General features: G+C 44.0%; 1 protein-coding gene and 1 long non-coding RNA gene across 4 annotated transcripts, besides 3 other annotated features; one reads left to right on the forward strand and one right to left on the reverse strand.

The window, feature by feature from the left end:
* On the reverse strand, nt 1-5756 carry TOB1 (transducer of ERBB2, 1). Of its 3 annotated transcripts, NM_001243877.2 has the most exons (3): nt 5583-5756; nt 5272-5380; nt 1-1941 (listed from the first exon to the last, which is right to left on the reverse strand). In NM_001243877.2, the coding sequence occupies exon 3, from the start codon at nt 1793-1795 to the stop codon at nt 758-760; it is 1038 nt and encodes a 345-aa protein (NP_001230806.1). In that variant the 5' UTR covers nt 1796-1941; nt 5272-5380; nt 5583-5756; the 3' UTR covers nt 1-757. The 3 variants fall into 3 exon arrangements, with proteins under 3 accessions (NP_001230806.1, NP_001230814.1, NP_005740.1); NM_001243885.2 differs by lacking the exons at nt 5272-5380; nt 5583-5756 and adding an exon at nt 3836-4132 and having other exon boundaries at nt 1-1738; NM_005749.4 differs by lacking the exons at nt 5272-5380; nt 5583-5756 and adding an exon at nt 3836-4132.
* Nucleotides 2748-2797: an enhancer, noted in NCBI's record as "active region_12393". NCBI's record gives its function as "activates an Ori minimal core promoter by ATAC-STARR-seq in GM12878 lymphoblastoid cells {active_cell/tissue: GM12878}" and the evidence as "EXISTENCE:reporter gene assay evidence [ECO:0000049][PMID:35858748]".
* Nucleotides 3338-3947: a silencer, noted in NCBI's record as "silent region_8713". NCBI's record gives its function as "represses an Ori minimal core promoter by ATAC-STARR-seq in GM12878 lymphoblastoid cells {active_cell/tissue: GM12878}" and the evidence as "EXISTENCE:reporter gene assay evidence [ECO:0000049][PMID:35858748]".
* Nucleotides 3958-4467: a silencer, noted in NCBI's record as "silent region_8714". NCBI's record gives its function as "represses an Ori minimal core promoter by ATAC-STARR-seq in GM12878 lymphoblastoid cells {active_cell/tissue: GM12878}" and the evidence as "EXISTENCE:reporter gene assay evidence [ECO:0000049][PMID:35858748]".
* Nucleotides 4457-6149, forward strand: TOB1-AS1 (TOB1 antisense RNA 1). The gene is made up of 2 exons (NR_038458.1): nt 4457-4995; nt 5274-6149. It is a non-coding gene; the product is annotated as a TOB1 antisense RNA 1 (long non-coding RNA).

The raw sequence follows: 22454 nt of genomic DNA on the forward strand, positions 1-22454 counted from the left end.
TTTTTAATTTTAAAGAATTTTAATACAAACTTAATATAAACTATTTCAGTCCCTCTTAACATGTAAGACACTGACTCAAAATACTTTTATACCGTTTTTTTCAAGTATTGCACAATATAGGTACAAAATTAATATTTACGATTACATTTTTCTTCCATAATATATAGCAAAAATCTTTAAACTTTTAACAGAAAATACATTTTTTTGAAAAAGCAAGTATTCGTACATTTTAATTCCACCACTAAAGGAATATCCTGTACACAATTTTTAGAATAGTTGATGTCTTTAAGATGGATATTTTACAATTTCAGTAAAAAAAATACAACATGAAGCTGCTGCTGTCACAGATCACTGTAGTAAAAAGATATAAATGCAATACCATGTCGTAGAAACAATATATATATATCCTCTGATATTTTACAAACTTTGTACTAAATTAAATTATACAATTAGAAAAGACCAATAAACCCACTTATTAGTGCCAATTTTTATAAAAAAAAATCAGCCATGTCCTTGCTATATCTTAAATACTGTAAGAGGCCATATCTGAGAGTATACTTTAAAATATACAGTCAGTATAAAATAACTTTGTGCTTGGTTGGCAAATGAAAAATGATGCATGTTTTATTATTATTTTTTTAACCAAGCTTGAATGTATCCTTACTATAAGCTTAAAAAAAAAAATTCTCAAGGAGGTGAAAAAAAAAATCCCCCTTGGGCCCGTGCATTTTAACTTGTACGATACATTTTCTTTTTTTTAGTTAGCCATAACAGGCTGGAATTGCTGGTTAGAATACTGCATGTTATTTAAGCTAAAATTCAAGCCATCTACAAAAGATTTCTCATTGAGGCCTCCATAGGCTGCAAACACATCAAAGGCATTACTGTACTGGAGAGGACTGAGGTTAAGGGGGCTGTCACCTGGGAACATTCCATTGGTACTACTACCTTGACCCTGCATATTAGGAAAAATAAATTCCTTGGCATTAGGAGAAAGAGCAGAGGTTTTCTGCTGTTGTTGCTGCTGTGGTGGTGGTGGTGGCGGTGGCGGCTGGGCTGGCTGCTGCTGTTGCTGTGGCTGCTGCTGGCTACCCAAGCCAAGCCCATACAGAGAGTGCATTGAGGAAGAGATGGCTTTCTGCTTCAAGAGGTCATTCACATTCAAGCCGAGGTTGATGGGAGAAGTACGTGCAACCTTGTTGCTACGGCCACTATTCTTCATTTTGGTAGAGCCGAACTTGGTGGCAGCAAAAGTGGCAGTGGTAAAGGTTAAAGGCTGAGTGGACCGGGGCATGAAGGTAGGGCTTACAGCAGCAGAGTGACCAAAAGGAGGCGATGGAGAGCTGGACACTGATGAGGCTGGGTCACTTATGGGCATAAAAACCTGGGCCTCTGGGTTAAAGCTGTTTTTGATCTCCTTATCCAACTCACATCCATTTTCATTATTATCATCCACGTAAAGCACCTTCACTGGTCCCTTTTCACCAATTTGGTAAGAAACCTCAAATGGGTCGATCCAAACACTAAGATCCTGTGGCAGATTGCCACGAACATCATCAATGTCCAAACCACTCTCTTTGGATGCTTGTTCAATCACTGGGTCCACTTTCTCCCCTATGTGTATACATCTAAACCCCGATCCTTTGTATGGCTTTTCAGGATACCAGTGCCCTTCATATTTCTTCTTAAGAAGTCTTTCAAGTTCTTCACCAAAAATGTTGACACGTCTCCTGGGAAGCTTATTGTACAAATACGAAATAATAAAATTTAGTGCTACTTGGATTTCAAGCTGCATAGCTGCTACGCCACAAAATTAGGTTTCAACTCCCCCACCAAAAAAAAAAAAAAAAAAAAAAGATGTTCAGTTTGTGGCAGAGAAACAAATTTTCATTCAAAGTGCTGGTATTAGTAGATTATCCTTCACCTTGAGTGATCTTGTTCCTTAAAACAAAAGCAAACATATCCAAATAAGATAAATGTAATATAAGTCCCATGACCTTCCCCCCTCCAAAGTAATTTCACCTTTCAAAATGTCTAAGATCCTGTGTTAGTCTGCTAAGGATAAAAAGAAAAAGAAAATGTCTACTAGGACAGAAAGCCTGAAAACTGTTACTAGCACAAAATAAACATAAAATAGAAAATCGTTTATTAAAGTTTAAAATGACACAGGAAAATGTAGATTTACAAATGAAATAATGCTTTTAAAAACCTGTTTCTGAATAGAGTTCTAAGAAGAAAAATCTCTAGAACATGCATTCTTCTCTCCTCAGTTCTCACAAGAATATTTATTGTACTCAGCATCCTCCCCCCACCCCCATATATATAGATGCCACTTTTAGGTAGTAATTTTTATTGTTATTCACCAACTTAGAAGTGAATCCATGTTTTAGTTTACTTTGGATATATACTGTTTAAATCTGCTCTGTCACTGACATTTAAAAATTTGGTTACGTTAGGAAGATCATTTTAATTTCCATAGTACATGATGCTAAAATTAAAGACACTGAGTACTAAATGAACTTCATCCTAGTAAATAATTATGAACCAAATTATTCTATATAGTTTCGGCCTTAAGTATACTAAGAGCATACAATATAATAAAATCCAGCTTCTCTGGGCCTTTTGTTTTCAATGTGTATTTTTCTAAATCTGAAAATACCTATTCGGCAGCAAGTATAACAAAAGCAAAGACACAAATTAAAACTATTGATTATTCTGTTTAAGGCCAGGGTTTCTGAGTTTTAGTCTGATTTTAAAAAACCTCCGTCTGTCCCTCTCTCCCTCCCTCCCTCTCACGGTAACAGCCGGAGAGGCAAGTATGGTAAGGTCGACCTTTAAACGTTTGCTGGATCAGCACTGGGTGGGGATAAGAAAAGATCAAGGGCAAACAGAAGATATTTGCGAAAGGGATCTATTTGCACACTGAAGTTGATTTAAAAGTACGTTTAAAAATCAAGTTGGTCTTAATTCGTCTGTTCTATTTTCCATATTCGTGGTGACAAAGGGAAAAAGAATCTCTGGCTGCCCCCAAACTACAAACACTTTCCAAGTCAAAAGCCTGAGTGCCGGCAGAGGCAGCTGATTAAGCCCAATTGCTTGAAGGTGCAGCCGAGCGAAATTCAGGCTCGGTGGAAGGTAGTTACAAAGCAACGCCTTAAGACAGGCAGGAGTGTGAAGAATTACATAAACAGCCAGTTAGATCTCATTAGATTTCTGCTCACAGCCCTCGGAGCCCAAGCGCTACAGCAGCAGCAACAGCAAGAGGAGGTGGAGGTGGAGGAGGAAGAGAGTACGAGCCTCCTCGGAGAAGGAGGAGGAAGGCCCGGGAAATGGAAGAGCAACCTCTCCCGGCTGGGCACCCAGCACCGAGCAGGTCGGGGCGCCGGGTCAGCCGCTCCCCTCCCCCGCCGTAACCCGACCCGCTGCTCCCCGCCCCGTGGCCCCCGCCCCGGGCTCCTGGGAGCCGGCCAGAGCCTGGGGGAGCACCGGTTCCTCGGCACCATTTTCAGCCTCGCGGCCACCGGCCCCTCGAACCCCAGCGTTCCACCGCGAGCTCGTCGCTCCTCCGGGCACCCCAACCCCCCAATTCCCGTCAGCTCGCCCCGGGCCGCCCGTCCCCGGCCAACTGCCCAGGACGAGCCCGACGCGCCGGCGGCCCCTCGGAGCCGCTCCCCTCGGGTCCTGGCGCTGCCCCCTCGGCGCCCAGGGCCGCGACCCCGCCGTCCCCGAGCTCCCGAGGGCCCAGGGCTCGACGCCGCTGCAGCCCCTCCTCCGCCGCCTGGGCCCGGGGCTCCCGTCTCCTCGCCGACCCCGCCCGGCGCCCCGAGATACTTACGGGCTGCTTCGGGGCGGCTTGGACCACAGACCCGCGGCTGGGCGGGGAGCAGCGCGGCAGGGCGGGGGCGCGGGAGGGTCGGGAGCGGCGAGCTCGCCGAGTGCAAGACGTTGCCGCTGCGGGGCTGAGGACAGAGGACAGAGGCCTCGGGCAGGCCTTGGGAGATCGCCGTTAGTGGCTCGGGGTGGCGGGCACGGGGGTCAGACGAGCGCGCTCACTTCTCCACACAGCCCGGTGCCCGGCCCAGCGTCCCCGTAGTGCGCCCGCTACACGCCGGGCCAGAGCTTCGCTCCTTCTGCCGCGGCGCGCGCCCCGCCTCTCGTTTTATGGCCTCCTCCCCGCCCCCATCCCCTCCGTCGGGGTGCGCGCGCCCGCTCCGCGTCACACAGCTCCGGCGGCGCAGCCATTCCCCGCGCTCCCCGCCCGGCACCCCGGTCCCCCGCCGGCCGGCTCCGCCCCTGCCCTGCCCCCCGACGCCATTGGCCAAGTCCCGCCTGCCCCTGTCCGGACGCGCGGCGGACGCAGGGGTGGGGAAGCCGCACCCTCCGGGCTCCAGGAGGGCCAATGAACCGACGATCGGAGCACTGGGGACGGAATGAAGAGAACGTCTGGAAAGGGACTGTGGGGGCAGACGTGCCAATGAGAGAGAAAGGGGTGGGGTAGGGCGGCTGACGCCCGGTTTAGGCGGAGAGCGCCGGGCAGAGGGGGAGGGGGACGAAGCTGGTGGCGAAGCGGCTCAGGAGAACCGGGGCTGGAGGAGCGGCAAGAGTACCCAGAAAGTGCCCTCTCCGCGGGGGTCTGCGGCCAAGGAGGATCCTGCTCGTGGAATAGCTACCAAATCGGCCTCCAGCCCACCCCAGGGGCGGGGTAGAGAAAGGGCAAACTGTGACCGGGACTTGTGCACCCGATTAATTGAATATTAATCACCCCAAGGCCTAGGCCAACCGCCACCCAGAGAGTGGCAGCTGCAGAACCCAAAGACGTGGAGCCGGGCTGGGGGTGGGGAAGGGAGGCCGCCACAGCTCCCGCCCCGCCGGCAGTTTAACTGCTTCCGCAGCCTCAGGCCTCCCGGTGCGACCCCGGCTGCGACTCGGATCCGTTTATTCCAAATGTCCCAGCCCACGCCGTGCCCAGAGTGTGGCGACACGAGGCCAAACTGCGTATGTATCTGTGTCCATGTCTACACACACACGCATGCGTGCATTTCTAGGGCTTGCTGGATCGCAGGTGCACAGAATAAACGCGGTGCCTGCTTGTAAAGCGCGTTTAAGATCATTCTTGGCTGAAATATGTGCGGGTACCTAGGGAGTGGGGTAAGAGAGGGACTCGTGGTGGGGGGCGGGTAAGTGCCTTTTTCACAACCTGCCCCAGAGAAATACACGAAATTACATCGGGAGTGGAATCGAGCGTCCCTCTCAGCTAAAAATATTACTCACAGGTAGCAACGACGCCTGATTGGCTGCGCTGGTCCCTTCGCAACGAGGCGATTGGCTGCCTGGTATCCAGGAGACCGACGTCAAACTCGGACTGGGAAAAGGGGAAAGTCTGGGGGGAGCGAAGGAGGGGACGGGGAGAAAGAAGCAATGAATGAAACGCCCATCGCCTGGCCTTCCCCTTTCCCCTTTCCCCTCTCCTCTCCATTCTTGGAGCACTTCCTGGAAAAACACCAGTTGGGGCGCCGCCTTCCCCTCCAAACGTTGGGGCCTGCACTCTCAACCTGCTATAAGGAAGTTAAACCGCAGCTCACCGAGGAGTAGGGTGTCTACGGGGCGGGCCCGTGTAGACCAGCTGTGCTCCTCGGGCACAAACCCGCCGTACATGCCAGGCCTAGAAGCTTTTGGCTTTGTGGACGCAAAATCTGGTTGGAGCCGCCTTCTCCACCCTGACTCTCCCGCCTCTCCTTTTTAGAAGGAACCGCACTGAGAAAGGGTATTTCTGAAGGCTCAATGCGTAGGAGAAGGGGTGGGAAGATGGGTTTGTGGAATGGGCTGAGGGTGGGGAGTGGTCAGGTGACTGATTTCATGTTTATTGTACAGATTCCTAAAACATAGTTTTACTAAGTGACTCCTTAAATTCTGATTAATGTGATTTTTTTTTTTTTTTGAGTGTTTGGGTTTTTTAGTTGCAAACAGGAGTGGAATTGAAATGTGAAAGTATGGCAAAACTGTGAAAGCATTTAAATTAAAATGTCCCTTCCTCTGCATTGAAATGTCATCAAAGCGTCAAATATAAATGATTTGTTCAGTTTTCTTTTTTTATTTGTTTGTTTTTGGTTTTCTGTAATGACAAGTCCATCTGTAATAAAAGTGAGTTATTTTTAGTTTTCTAATTAAGCACAGAAATTTCAAGAAACTAGACAGGATATCCTTGGAATGCCTTACCAAAAGAAACACTTCATTTTTCACGTGTTCTAGAAGCACAACTTCTTTTACCATTAGGCAAATAATGGTACTGTACCAAACATCTAGAACTGCGGGACCATGTGTCTTGATTAGTAATTTTATATTGGGGGGGCATATTAGGCATGGCTGAGACTAAAATGTCTAAAGATAGATGAATTGTAATTTTGTCAAACTTATCTGTACTTTTCAATAATTCTCTAAAGAGAAGGGACAAGTTCTCTTTTCTGAATGTCTTCAATCTGTAATTCCAGATTTGAAATATGAGAGCAGTCATCTGATAGGTACTGATTAAATATCAGTAGCATTAAAAGCATTTTTAAGTCAGAAATGTAGATGTCAAAAATTTATGAGTTATTGCTGCTTGGCCTAGGAGTGTAAGAAGATGTCTGACCAAATATAAACACACACACACACACCACACAAACAACACACACGGAGGCCCCATGGCATACTGGAAAAAGCAATGAAGGGTGGGTACTGGGAGGTCTGAGTTTCACACCAGTTTCAATAAACTTTTAGTTTTCTCACCTATAAAAAGGGTTGAATTAGATCATATCTAATGTCTCCTTCAATTAAAAAAAAATTCCACACTTGGCTGGGAGCAGTGGCTTACGCCTGTAATCCCAGCACTTTGGGAGGCTGAGGCAGGCAGATTACCTGAGCTCAGGAATTTGAGACCAGCCTGGCCAACACGGTGAAACCCCGTCTCTACTGAAAATACAAAAATTAGCCGGGTGTAGTGGCACACGCCTGTAATCCCAGCTACTTGGGAGGCTGAGGCAGGAGAATTGCTTGAGCCTGGGAGATGGAGGTTGCAGTGCGCCGCGATCGTGCCACTGCACTCCTGCTGGCCGACAGAGCGAGACTCTCTCTCAAAAAAATAAATAAATAAAATATTCCGCCCTTAAAACTCAATGTTCCTAACATATATACTGCAGCTGTTCTTCAAATACAGATTGCAAGTCAGGGCGCGGTGGCTCTCGCCTGTAATCCCAGTACTTTGGGAGGCCAAGGTGGGTGGATCATCTGAGGTCGGGAGCTCGAGATCAGCTTGACCAACATGGAGAAACCCTGTCTCTACTAAAAATACAAAATTAGCCTGGCATGGTGGCGCATGCCTGTAATCCCAGCTACTCGGGAGGCTGAGGCAGGAGAATCACTTGAACCCGGGAGGCGGAGGTTGCGGTGAGCTGGGATCGCGCCATTGCACTCCAGCCTAGGCAACAGGAGCAAAACTTCGTTTCAAAAAAGAAAAAAAATACATATATATGGATTGCAAATAAAAGGGAAAACTGATTCACATCTCTGAACATTGCCAGTCACGAGGTATAAAATGTTCTTTATCCAAGTTCTGCATATGGCTTATTATTATCTAACATTTACTTTGGAATTGTGCAGGGGAGTGGAGGGCTAACTGCTAATTGTGCAGGGAATTAGACTTATGGAGGAAAAAAGAATTTGATATTAGGCTCCAAGTGTATCACAATCAAGAGGTATTCCTCTCTCTGAGCAAATAACAGTCACTAGAAACTACAGCCTTTGCCTTTCACATCCCTACATTCTACACAATTCCCAGTGGGCCCTTACAATAAAGGTAATCGTTTGGTAAAAAATAACTTCCAATATCTTCATAAAATACAGTTCTTGAAAGTGCCTTGAATTATTACCTAATCCACACAAGAACACACACATGCAACACCTTGATTTCTGAGATAGAGACATCCTAAGTTTTCTAATTCTTAATATGCTTCCTTGTAAATTGAGAAAGGGTTACAGGAGAATAGCTATCACATGGTGTATAATTATTAATACTCATTTTACTTCTTTTTTTTTTTTTTTTTTTTTTTTGAGACAGAGTCTCACTCTGTCGCCAGGCTGGAGTGCAGTGGCACAGTCTTGGCTCACTGCAACCTCTGCCTTCCGGGTTCAAGTGATTCTCCTGCCTCAGCCTCCCAAGTAGCTGGGACTACAGGCATGCGCCACCACTCCCAGCTAACTTTTGTATTTTTAGTAGAGATGGGGTTTCACCATGTTGGCCAGGATGGTCTCTATCTCTTGACCTCGTGATCCGCCCGCCTCGGCCTCCCAAAGTGTTGGGATTACAGGCATGAGCCACCGCACCCGGCCGACTCATTTCACTTCTAAGGAATCAACCTTTTACCTTTATTTGAAAATAAGACAGGCAGGGCAAGGTGGCTCACATGCTCGTAATGCCAGCATTTTAGGAGGCTTGAGGCGGGAGGATCCCTTGAGCCGAGGAGTTCGAGATCAGCCTATGCAACACAGTGAGACCCCTATCTCTATTTTATTTAAAAAAAAAAAAAAGGCGGGAGTGGTGATGCACACCTGTAGTCCCAGCTACTTGGAAGGCTGAGGTGGGAGAATCTCTTGAGACAAGGAGGTGGAGACCAGCCTATACAGCATAGCGAGGCCGTTTCTATTTTATTTTCTTTTATTTTTTAAAAATTAGCCGGGCGTGGTGGCGCACACCTGTAGTTCCAGCTACTTGGAAGGCCGAGGCAGGAGGATCTCTTGAGACCAGGAGGTCGAGGCTGCAGTGAGCAGTGATCGTGCCACTGCACTCCAGCCTGAGCAACAGAGGGAGGCCTTGTCTCAAACTAACAACAACAAAAAAACCCCATAATGTTCTTATTGTGATTTTTATTTATTTCTTTTTAAACGGTCATGCAACATAAATCATAGCACACACATTTTAAAATTATTATTAATTTTTTTTGAGACAGAGTCTCGCTCTGCGCCCAGGCTGGAGTGCAGCTCACTGCAGCCTCCCGGGTTCAAGTGATTCTTCCACCTCAGCCTCCCGAGTAGCTGGGATTACAGGCACCCGCTATCATGCCCAGCTAATTTTTGTATTTTTGTAGAGACAGGGTTTCACCGTGTTGGCCAGGCTGGTCTTGAACTGCAGGGATTACAGGCGTGAGCCACTATGCCTGGCCTAAAATTAATTTTTTAAATCATGCTCTAGTCATTGAGTTATTGAAAACCAAGTAAACCAGTTCTCTTCTAAACATTTCTCAAAAAAAGGCAATCCAGTTACGTCTGAGGAAACCTCAGTGTGGTTTCCTGTGGCTTTTCACATGGGTTTGTAGTGGAGGGCTATATAGTCTCCAGAAGACACTGGCACACAGACATTTGTAATTAAAAGATAACTAGATAATGTTGAACAAGCCTACTAAAGCAACGTGGTCTGATAGGAGAATGTTTCCTTATAATTTGCTCACTTTCTATTATCTTGATGAACAAAATCCAAACCAAATCTTGCAATTTCTTTCCATTAGCCGAGGAGGAAGATTTTGATTTCAGTAAAGAGATTATAGTGCGGGTTCTAGGAGTGATACGGTGTTCATGACATTCTAAGTACAAAGAACATTTATATAAAGTACTCTGAGAGCAAATGTTATTAGAGTACTTTAAATACATTTAAAGCATGGGTTGCATATGTTATTATGCAGCTCTGCTTACTAAAATAGAATGTGATTTTATATATATAACCAATTGTGGCAGACACTGTTGCCAGCTCACCCGTTTCCCATGCCCCATCCTCATTCCCTTTTCTTCCTGACTAAAGAGGCTAGAAGAGCTAAATGCATGTTTTCCCAGGCTTCATTGCAGTAGAGGTGGCACTGTGACACTGTTCTGCAGATAAGATGTAAACAGAAGTCAGCTGGGATGGTTTCTGAGGGTGCTATGCTTTTCCTATCAGAGAGGTTTGTTCTAGTTACTATTGCTGCATGAAAAACTATCCAAAACACGCATTTACTGTGGCACAAAAGGTCAATTTTATTATACCCTTGGATCCTGTAGGTAAGAAATTCAGGCTTGGCCTGGTGGCTCACACCTGTAATCCCAGCACTTTGGGAGGCCAAGGAGGGCGGACCACTTGAGGTTAGGAGTTCGAGACCAGCCTGGCCAACATAGCAAAACCCCCTCTCTACTAAAAATACAAAAAAATTAGCCAGGCATGGTGGTTTGTGCCTGTAATCCCAGCTACTCAGGAAGCTGAGGCAGGAGAATGACTTGAACCCAGGAGGCAAAGGTTGCAGTGAGCCAAGATAGCATCACTGCACTCCAGCCTGGGTGACAGAGAGAGATTCCGTCTTAAAAAAAAAAAAAAATTCAGACAGGGCACAAGGGGATGGATAGCTTATCACTGCTCCATAGTGTCTGGAACCTCAGCTGGAAAGGCTCAAATGCTCAAGTATCATCTGAAGCAGGTCTAACAGAACTTCCTCCAGTGATGGGAATATGCCATATCCGTGCTGTCAAATATAATAGCCACATGCGGCTCTTGAGCACTTGAAATGTGGCCAGTGTGACTGAGGAACTGAATTTTTACTTTAATTTAGTTTTAATGAAATTTAGATTTAAATAATCACATGTGGACAGCAGCTTCTGAATTGGACAGCATGGACCTGGAAGCTTTTTCAAAGCACATGTCTAGCACCTGGGCTGCAGTGACTCAAGGGCTGGGCTTAGTTGGCACTGTTGTTTGGAGCGTTTCCACATGGCCTCTGAATTTCCCCTGTGGTTTGGGCTTCTTACAGCGTGGCAGTTGAGAGGAAGCAGAGCAGTTTCTGGAGAGTGAACTTTTTAAAAATTAAAACCATTTTTTTCAAGTTTTTTCTAGAGATAGGGTCTTGCTGTGTTGCCCAGGCTGGTCTCAAACTCCTGGCCTCAAACAATCCTCCTGCCTTGGCCTCCCAAAGCAGTGGGATTACAGGCATGAGCTACCATGCCTGGCCACCATGGAAGCTGCCACCATGGAAGCTGCCACCAAGGAAGCTGCATGGCCTTTTATGACCCAGTCTCATAAGTCACAATGCACCACTTCCATTACACCCTAATGGTCAAAGTAACCACCAGCCAGATTCAAGGGGAGGGGACATAACCACCACCTCTCATGGAGGAGTGTCAAAGAATTTGAGGCCATTTTTAAAAATCACCACTGGGTCACTTCTCTCTTCTTCCTGCCTTGAACATGGATCTCATGGCAGGAGCTGCAGCAGCTCCTACTGAATAAACCATGAATAAAACGCAAGTTAATCACAGGGACAGGGGTTCTCACCAATGCTAGTCACTGCCTAGGTCTGGTCCACTTTTTAACCGACATTAAGTGTTCCATGACTTGCAGCTGAAGTATTTCCAGCAAAAACACTAATTTTACATCTTTTAAGGAAACCTGAACTTGATTTTCAAAAAAGCCAAAATAAATTTTTCCTCTAATCTAAAATATCAGGGCTTCTTTCTCATTATAAAACCTGGAAATGCTCATTATAGCAAATTTGGAACACATAGAAATAAAGAAGAAAATAGCAATCATCTTTAATCTCTCCATGCAGTGCTAACCATCTTGCTCCATTTCTTTCTGAATGAGTTTCTATCACACACGCAATTTTCTATCCTGCAGTTCACTTAACATTACATTTTTCCTATTTTCTCCTGACATTAAGCATTTGTCACAATCATCATTTTTAATGACTGCATATTATATTCTACTCTATGGATTTAGAATAATTTATTTAACCATCGCTGGGCATCTAAGTTGTTGAAAATGTTTCTGTATTAAAAACAAACATATTTAACAGGCATTTTTATATGTAAATCTTTAGCTACCTCTCTATTTCCCTGAGCTAGATTCTATAAGCAAACTTAGCGAGTGGAAGAGAAGGAATATTTTTTAAGGCTGGTAACATAATGACAATCCACCTTCCAGAGAGATTGTACTTTTTTACCTTCCCAGAGGATACGCACTGCAAAATCACTACATTTTTAGCCAGCGTTGCCTACTAAAAAATTTTTTTCTATCCTTGGCTAATTTGGTAGGTAAAATGATATCTGTTGTTTAATTTTTATTTCTTTGATTACATGTAGGATGAATAGAGTTTGACATGTTTGTCAGCTCGTTGTACTACTGTTTTTATAAATTTTTTATCTATGCCTTTTCTCCATGTTTCTCTTAGAGGTCTTTGTGTTTTGCTTCAATTTGTATGAGTATCTTGCATATTGTGTACAGATACGTGGCTGAAGAGGATCCTGGTCATAAACCTCACTCTAGAACTTGCCCAAACATTTTAAACATGTGATTTTGATGCCTAGAACCTTGCTTTTCAATCTACTGTTTCACTTTATAAGGTCCTGACTAACTCCTGGGTTATCCATAAATGCTTAAAAAAAAAAAAAAAGCAAGCCAGGTACAGTGGTACCTATAAGCCTAGCACTTTGGGAGGCTGAGATGGGAGAGAGGATCATTTGAGGCCATGAGGTTGAGACCAGCCTGGGCAACATAGCGAGACCCCTGTCTCTACAAAAAAAATAAAAATATTAGTAGGGTGTAGTGGCAAGCACCCGTAGTCCCAGCTACTAAGGAGGTTTGAGGTGGGAGTATCCCTTGAGCCCAGGAGTTCCAAGCGGCAAGTGATCATTCCATAGCACTCCAGCCTGGGTGACAGAGCAAGACCTTTTCTCAAAAACAAACAAACAAACAAAAACAGTTCTAATCATTTTTACTTAGGCCTCTGTCTTCTTGACCTTTCTGTCACATTTCACACTGTTTACTAATAACTACTTCAAATATTTCCTTTTGACTTTTAAGACTTTGCCCATTGTATTAACATTGGATATCCTAACATGGCCCCCACTTCCTATCTCAGCTGCAGTGGAGCAGAGAAGAAAAATTATGAATTCAAAATTAGAGAATTTGTGTTTGGGTCTTGCCACCTGGTATTAGTTGGGTATGGCTACTCTGAGTCTCAGCCCTCATCTTATAAATAATTAGAAGCAATAATTACCCTCAGAGTTGTGTGAGAATCAATTGAGGTGACACCTGTGAAAACGCTCTATGAACCGTCAAGCCCCCCATAAATGTGAATATTTTCTTCCTTCCTCTCCCCCTCCCTCTTCCCCTCCTTCCCTACTTTCTCCTCCTCCTCTCCTCCTTCTCTTCCTTCTCTGCTTCTTACATCTGGCAGAAATTCAAGTACCATTTGATTCAGCTCAAGTAAAAATACATGTGAAATTGCTTTTAAACTACAAACAAGTATTATTAACACTCTCTTCTGTCAGATACAGTGTTGCCAACTCAGTCCTTTTCACCTTCAAAAAACCTCTCAGAATCCCATGGCTTGATGTTTTATATTATTATTTAATTATTAGTTTATTTAGCCTTCCGTGTGTTTATGTCCTAGCCTTTGTTGGATTCCAAGCTTTTTAAGAGCAGAAAGCATGTACCTTTACACGAGCTTTATAGTGCCTTGCAGTCAATCAGTATTGACTGATGGCTTTGCTAGGTCGCTGCTTAATCCAATGAAAGAACACAGAATATTTGAGGAAGGGTAAGTGGCTCAGAGTGGCTGCTGTGGATGGTTCAGAGGTGAGAATCTAGAGAGGAGGCTGGTTGGTAGGCAGAGGCCAGATTACCAAGGGAGGAAATCTGGAATTTTGCCTTTAACAGACGGGAAGATGTTGGGTGATTTTTCAGTTGGGAAATGACATTATTGGAATTCTGTTTGGAGCACATTTTATTTATCTCTAAATGCCCCAGAGCATAGTACATTACTTGATACTTAGGAATTGCCCTGCCAATGTGTGTTCAATTGCTAGACGTAGTTTTATCACCCAATGGAATATTCTTCAATTGTTTGGTTGTTCTGAAGAAGAAATACTTACTGTCTTTTAAGGAAGATACAGACCCCACCTGGAGACCAATACTTCTATCCACTTGGGAACAAAAGGAAAAGTTTTGGCCGGGCGCGGTGGCTCAGGCCTGTCATCCCAACAATTTGGGAGCCTGAGGTGGATGAATCACTTGAGGCCAGGAGTTTGAGACCAGCCTGGCCAAGATGGTAAAATCCCATCTCTACTAAAAATACAAAAAGTAGCCAGCTGTTGTGGTGCGTGCCTGTAGTTCCAGCTACTTGGGAGGCTGAGGCATGAGAATTGCTTGAACCCAGGAGATGGAGGTTGCAGAGAGCCGAGATCATGCCACTGCACTACAGCCTGGGTGACAGAACGAGACTCTGTCACAAAAAAAAAAAAAAAGAAAAAGAAAAGAAAAGAAAAAATAAAAGATTATGTGGCAAGGTATTAAGTAAAAAAAACTTACGGTTTCTGAAAAAACTAAAACCTTTCTGTAGAAAATTCTACTGTGGTACCAGGAGGGTTGATTACTTCCACCTTTCCTTGTTGTTAGCCTAGACAACATCTGTTCCCCTTTCTTCCAGCAACAGTTGCGATTTTTGTGTGAGAACCTATACCTCTCCCACCCTTCATCCAGGAGCTTCTAGTGAGACTTGCGATTTTTGTGTGAGAACCTATACCTCTCCCACCCTTCATCCAGGAGCTTCCAGTGAGACTCTTGACAAGGCAAAAGCCAGCGAAAGCATCACATTCTCCTAACTACTGTGATGGGTTTAGGGATGGCTGATCAGAGCCAATAACTCAATTCTGGGACTTCTGTCTGAGGTCTTGGGATAAGGACTCTTTCCCATGAAATATGAACCTGGAAGTATTCATTGTTGAGGCTCCCAGGGCCATCTTAGTACCAAAAGGAGAGAGCCTGTCAGAGAATGTAGCTAACCCAGGTAAAACCAAGAAAAACCAAGTCCTGGAAACAGCCTTTTGAGCAGCCCTTGAATCAACTTTACCTGGACTTTCAGCTACAGGCTGTCTTAGCATAGGTTCCTAAACAAGCAGAGCCCAAGGCAAAGGGCTTTGCGCTACCACTTTATTTTTTATTTTTATTTATTTATTTATTTATTTATTTATTTATTTATTTATTTCGCTCTGTCGCCCAGGCTGGAGTGCAATCGTGCTATCTCAGCTCACTGCAACCTCCGCCTCCCGGGTTCAAGCGATTCTCCTGCCTCAGCCTCCTGAGTAGCTGGGATTATAGTCGCGTGCCACCACCCCAGCTAATTTTGTATTTTTAGTAGAGATAGGGTTTTGCCATGTTGGTCAGGCTGGTCTTGAACTCCCGATCTCAGGCGATCCACCTGCCTTGGCCTCCCAAAGTGCTCGGATTACAGGTGAGAGCCACTGCGCCTGGCCTTATTTTATTTTATTTTTTTTGAGATGGAGTCTTACTCTGTCCTCAACCAGGCTGGAGTGCAGTGGTATGATCTCAGCTTACTGCAACCTCCGCCTCCCAGGTTCAAGGGATTCTCCTGCCTCAGCCTCCCTAGTGGCTGGGATTACAGGTTCCTGCCACCACGCCCAGCTAATTTTTGTATATTTAGAAGAGACGGGGTTTCACCATGTTGGCCAGGCTGGTGTCGAACTCCTAACCTCAGTTTGCTACCACTTTAAGAGGGAGTGAAATCCCAGGAAGCAGGAGAGAGGGGCAAAGAGAGTAAAACAGCAAAGGAGGAGAACCTATTTCAGGTTGCGTTATTAAACCAATTGCTGTTAAGTAAAATTGCTTGATTCCATGGATTAGTCCTCCAAGAAGCCCTATAAACTGTATCCCTTTATGTGAGAAAAGAAAGGGGAGAATTCATCCATTGGTTCCCATCTCCCACTGGTCAAATAATTTATGCCATGTTGCATAACTGTATTGCATGGGTGTGTGTCCTGTCTCTCCAAGAGGCCTGCATTGTCATGAGAGCAGGCCAGTAGCTTCTACTGCCCTGTGCCTACACCATCCACAGAATGCTTAGTAAATATTTGACTGAACTGACTTTTCATAAAGTTCAGCATTCTGCTATTTGATCATTTGCATCCCAATGAGTTTTCCCCAATTTGTGCTGTTTTATTAACCTGTTAAATGTTATCATTTGAGTGGTACTTACACAATCAATTGCCAGCTGATTTCACATACTCAGTGGCATTTGGATTCTAAAGCCAAATCATTATCCTTCTATTCTCAATATGGTTAAAATCAAAAAATGTTAAATGACATGTAAACTAGCTCCAAGAGATTCGATGTTGACCAACACAGGGATTCCAGAAACTAAGAATGGAGAGACCAAGGGGAAGGAAATAACTAAAGAACTCAGAGAAGAAAAAATTGATGTATCAGTTAAGTAATAATTAAAGTTTTGGCTAACATAATTAATAAACTTGACTTGGTAGATATCGGTGTTCTTATAGGACTTTCCACATATAGACATTCTTTTCAACAACCCATGGACTAGTTTTAAAATTGCCTGTGTAATATGTAACCAAGAAAATTTACATAAATTCCCCCAAATAAAAACCTTATGACCTATACTGTTCATAGATCATTAAAGCTAGAAATTAACAACAAATATAGCAAAACATCTCTTTACTTGCATTTTTTTTTTCAGACAGGGTCTCACCCTATGCCCAGGCTGGAGTGCAATGGTGTGATCACAACACTGGAAGGTTAAGGCAGGAGGATCGCTTGGGCCCAGGACTTCGAGACCAGCCTGGGCAACATGGTGTGACCCCGCCTTTACAAAAATTTTTAAAAACTAAAAAAACCAAACAGAGCTTATTAAATGATTAAGAGCATACTATGTACAACTACATTAAATTTACAATCCTTAAGGAAAATGTAAATCATCTAAATTGATTTAAGAAATAGTATCAAACCTAAATAGACCACCAACAATGGAAAAAAACTGGTTTAAGATCTACCTCCAAAAAAGACACAAAGCCAAGGTGGTTTTACGGTAAGCTCTGCCAAAAAAATTCCTGTATTTGAATTTTCAGAGCTTAGGGAAGCATGAAGGTCTTGAAGTTCTTATAAACTCACTCTACGAGTTGGTATAACATGGATACCAAAGTGGACAATGATTTGAGCAACAACAACAGAAGATAAAACCAGGCACGGTGGCTCACGCCTATAATCCTAGCACTTTGGGAGGCCGAGACAGGCACATGGCTTGAGCTCAGGAGTTTGAGACCAGCCTAGGCAACATAGCAAAACCCTGTCTCTAGAAAAAAAAAAACACAAAAATTGGCTGGATGTGGTGGTGTGCACCTGTAGTCCCAGCTACTTGGGGAGCTGAGGCAGGAGGATCACTTGAACCTGGAAGGTCAAGGTTGCAGTGAGCCAAGATCACACCATTGCACTTCAGCCTAGGTAAAAAAATGAGACCCGGTCTCAATCAATCAACCAATCAATCAATAACGAAAGCCTAAATTTGCTTATGAATACAGATTTTAAAATCCTAAATGAAATATTAGCGAATTGGATGAGTGTATTAAAAGTATAATGCAAGGATGGCTCAACATTAGGATATCTGTTAATGCAATTCACTATATTAATAAACCAAAAGGGAGCAATGACCTTTTCAACTGATGCAACCAAAAAAGCATTTAACGAAATCTAATACTCTTTCATGATTAAAAACAAAACTCTTTTTTTGTTTTGAAATAGAGAATGACATGTCTTTAACTTGATAAAGTATCCATCAGAAACCTACAGCAAAGGTTGTACTAATGGGGAAGTGTTAGAAACTTTTTTTTTTTTTTTTGAGACAGATTCTCACTCTATCGCCCAGGCTGGAGTGCAGTGTTGTGATCTCGGCTCACTGCAGCCTCCACCTCACAGGTTCAGGCAATTCTCTTGCCTCAGCCTCCCAAGTAGCTGGGATTACAGGTGCCTGCCAAAATGGCTGGCTAATTTTTGTATTTTAGTAGAGATGGGGTTTCACCATGTTGGCCAGGCTGGTCTCGAACTCCTGACCTCAAGTAATCTGCCCACCTCTGCCTCCCAAAGTGCTGGGATTACGGGCGTGAGCCACTGTGCCTGGCCTAGAAACATCTTAAAGTCAGTATTGAGACAAGCAGGGTTGATACCATTGCCATTAGTCAGTATTGAGACAAACAGGGTTGGTACCATTGCCATTATTAAACAAGCCTGGAGTAACTAGCCATTTTAATAAGACAAGAAAAGGAAATATGAGGTATACATCATAAGAGGCTGAGGTGGGAGGATCACTTGAGCCCGAGAGGTCAAGGCTACAGTGAGCTGTGATTGCCCCACTTCCCTCAGCCTGGGTGACAGAACGAGACCCTGTCTCAAAATAATAAGAATAAGAAAAAATATATATATATATATTCATATATATATAAGAATATATATATTCATATATATAAAAGAATATATATAAATTATATATAATTTATATATAAATATATTATATATATATTATATATAAATAATATATAATTTATATATATTATATATATATTTATACATATAAATATATATAAATTATATATAATTTATATATAAATATATAAATTATATATTATATATTATATATATTATATATTATATATTATATATATATAATATATACATATTTTATATATATATATATATTTTTTTTTAGACAGAGTCTTGCTCTGTTGCCCAAGCTGGAGTGCAGTGGCACAATCTCAGCTCACTGCAACCTCCATCTCCTGGGTTCAAGCAATTCTTCTGCCTCGGCCTCCCAAGTAGCTGGGATTACAGGCATGTACCACCATGCCTGGCTAATTTTTGCATTTTTAGTAGAGACGGGATTTCATCATGTTGGCCAGGCTGGTCTCGAACTCCTGACTTCAGGTGATCTACCCCCCCTCCCCCAGCCTCCCAAAGTGGTGGGATTACAGGCATGAGCCACTGCACTCGGCCTAGAAGAATAATATTTTTTAATATGGTTGAATAATTTTGATGTATCTTGTACTTTGTGGCTGTTGGTGAGTTGAATTCATATAGATGGAGAAGATACTATGTACCAGGTATTGTTCTTCCTGCTTTACATTTAAATCTTCACAAAAACCCTATGAAGAAGATACCATAATTAATGCTATTTTATAGATGAGGGAACTGAGGCACAGTGGGGTATGCACTGGGCCTCATATGAAAGCACACAGCCAGTAAGTGGCAGAGCTGAGATTTGAACCTCAACCATTTTGCTGTAGAGCCTATGGCTTAACCACATGATATGATATCCTTGGAAGATAAGAAAGCCACAGAAAAAGAGTAATCTCACCTTTATTAAAAGTAGGCTGAGTGCAGTGGCTCATACCTGCAATCCAGCCCTTGGGGAGGATGAGAGGGAGAATTGCTTGAGGCCAGGAGTTCGAGACCAGCCTGGGCAACACAATGAAGCCGTGTCTCTACAAATATTTTTTTTTAATCCATCTGGTTAGATAGATTGTAAGAACAAAAACAAGCAAACAAAAAACAGGGGTGGTGGCGTGCACTTGCAGTCACAGCTACTTGGGTGGCTGAGGTAGAAGGATCTACTGAGCCCAGGAATTCAAGGTTACAGTGAAGTATGATTGCACCACTGTACTCCAGCCTAGGTGACAGAGCAAGACCCTGCCTCTAAAAAGAAAAAAAGTAGGCCAGGCGCAGTGGCTCACTCCTGTAATCCCAACACTTTGGGAGGCCGAGGCGGGCGGATCACGAGGTCAGGAGATTGAGACCATCCTGGCTAACACGGTGAAACCCCGTCTCTACTAAAAATACAAAAACAAAATTAGCCAGGTGTGGTGGTGGGTGCCTGTAGTCCCAGCTACTCGAGAGGATGAGGCGGGAGAATGGCGTGAACCCAGGAATGGGAGCTTGCAGTGAGCTGAGATCGCACCACTGCACTCCAGCCTGGGCGACAGACCGAGACTCTGTCTCAAAAAAAAAAAAAAAAAGAAAAAGAAAGAAAGTAGAAAACATGTTTTGGTGCATAGGAGAAAGTAGTTACATTTAGCGAGGTGTAGCTCTGCGGGTGAGTGAAGGGACACTTCACTTTTGACTCCTCTCTTCATATGTTGCTTGGATTTTCCACAGTGGTCAGTTACCTTTGCAATTAAAAAGAAATGTTTTTTGTTTTGTTTTTTGTTTTTGAGACAAGGTCTCACTCTGTCACCCAGGCTGGAGTGCAGTGGCATGATCATGGCTCACTGCAGCCTCAGTCTCCTGGACTCAAGTGATCCTCCTGCCTCAGCCTCGTGAGTAACTGGGACTAGAGGTAAGTCTAGTCCTCCATGCCTGGCTAATTTTTTTTTTTTCTATATTGCTCAGGCTGGTTTGAACTCTTGGGCTCGAGCAATCCTCCCATCTTGGTCTCCCAAAGTGCTGAGATTATAGGTGTGAGCCACCATACCTGGCCTAAAATAAAATATTAAATACATTTTAACATTTATTATATTTATATATTATACATACTTTTTGTACAATTTGAATATATACATATATCATCTTTATATTTGGGGCTCACTTCTTTGTTTATGTAGTGTTTGTTTCCAAAAGCTTCCTTTATTATCTCTCACAAAAATGAGAACAGAATGCACACACCACACCTATCTGCCCTACATTCCAAAAGCATTAATTTATCACATTGGAAGAGATCTGTTTTTTTTTTTTCACTAGACCTCTTCTGTGAACAGAGATCTGATTTTTGTGCATTCTGAAATACCTATTTATTATAAGAACTCTGTAAATGGTTGGCTAAAATGGCTTTAATTCAATCCTAACATACTCCCTAATAGAGAGTTAGCCCTTTTGTCCTGTTTCCCTGCGTCTGGATTCCCATTCCATAAGCATCGCTCACAGGACTACTCTACTGGGTGCAGGAGAATAGGAGGCTGAGTAAGCCCCAGGCTAGTGGGACAGACACTTCCCAAGCCAGAAACCCAGGAGTCTTCTGAGACACCCCCTTTTGCTCACTCTGTCCCTAATTTCAAGCTGCCACTGGACCCATCCGCCTGACCTCCTACCTATTGATCTTGTCCGTTCGCCACCCTGCAGGCCATGAGCACCTCCTCCCTGGACCACCACGCCAGCCGCCTACTGGTTTCCCTGCCTTGACTCCTGCCTTCATTGCTAACACCTTCTCCACCCCACAAACAAGGGATGGATCTTTTAAAAATGCAAATCAAGCCTAGGCAACGTAGCAGGATCCTGTCTCTACAAAAAAAAAAAAAAAAAAAAAAAAAAAAAAAAATATATATATATATATATATATATATATATATATATATATATATATATATATAAATAAATTAGCCAGCTGTGGTGGCGTGCACCTGTAGTTCCAGGTAATTGGAAGGCTGAGGCAGGAGGACCACTTAAGCCCAGGGGTTTGAGGCTTCAGTGAGCTATGATCGCACCACTGCACTCCAGCTTGGGAGACAGAGGAAGACTCTGTATTAGAAAAAAAAAAAAAATGCAGTCCAGGCGCGGTGGCTCATGCCTGTAATCCCAGCACTTTGGGAGGCTGAGGTGGGCGGATCACTTGAGGTTAGGAGTTTGAGGCCAGCCTGGCCAACATGGTGAAACCCTGTCTCTACTGAAAATACAAAAATTAGCCAGGTATGGTGGTGCACGCCTGTAGTCCCAGCTACTCAGGAGGCTGATGCACGAGAATTGCTTGAACCCGGGAGGCAGATGTTGCAGTGAGCCAAGATGGTGCCACTGCACTCCAGCCTGGGCAATAGAGCGAGACTCCTTCTCAAAAAAAAAAAAAAATGCAAATCAGTCATGTTCCCGTCACCCTGCACCCACTGGGGTAAACCTATCAGTGTCTCCCATGACTTTTAGGGTGAGGACCAAAGCCCTCACTGCAGTCTACAGACCCTCGAGGATCTGCTGCCTGCCTGCCTACCCAGCAGAAGGCCAGAGCTTGCCCAACCTTCCTCCACCCTCTCTTACTTCCTCAAATACACCAGGTTCCCTCCCACTTCAGGGCCTTCTGCTAGTCCTGCCTGCAGCCTCTCACTTACTCCTCTCACCTCATTCATCCCTAGTGAGCTTAGCATTTGGCTTTTATTTCCCTTCTTCAGGGGAAGCTGCCCCAGTCCTATTACAGCAAACCCTCAGCTTTTTGCTCCCATAGTTCCTATGCAGCTATTTATTCAGTAGCTGTCTCCACCGCTGAGCAATGCAGTCGAAAGGGATAGGATCTGTGTCTACTTTGTTCCTTGCAGTATCCTGGGACCCCAGCACAGAGCCTGGTTCATACAGGACTTAATGAATGAGTGAGTGAATGAATGAATGAGTGATCCTGCTGTATTACCAGACAGATCGTGGTAGGGGCAACAGTTGCTGTGAGGTTTTGGGAAGCTGTCTTTGCCTGGGAGGTGGGGAAGGCAGGGCAGAGCCTAAAGAAGCCTTGAAGGGAGAGTGTTGCTTCATGGGCAGGGAAAGGAAAATGACATTCCAGACTCAGCCCCTACACAAGTGTGAGGCAGACTCCCATGGTTGTCAGGTCAGAGTAGGGAGAGGCAGAGATAAGGCTGCG

The sequence above is a fragment of the Homo sapiens genome, chromosome 17, assembly GCF_000001405.40.
Source record: "Homo sapiens chromosome 17, GRCh38.p14 Primary Assembly".
Lineage (NCBI taxonomy): Eukaryota > Metazoa > Chordata > Mammalia > Primates > Hominidae > Homo > Homo sapiens.

Bases quoted from the DNA above. Each gene is read 5' to 3' on its own strand.
- TOB1 (NM_001243877.2), bottom strand. From the start codon at position 1,795: ATGCAGCTTGAAATCCAAGTAGCACTAAATTTTATTATTTCGTATTTG.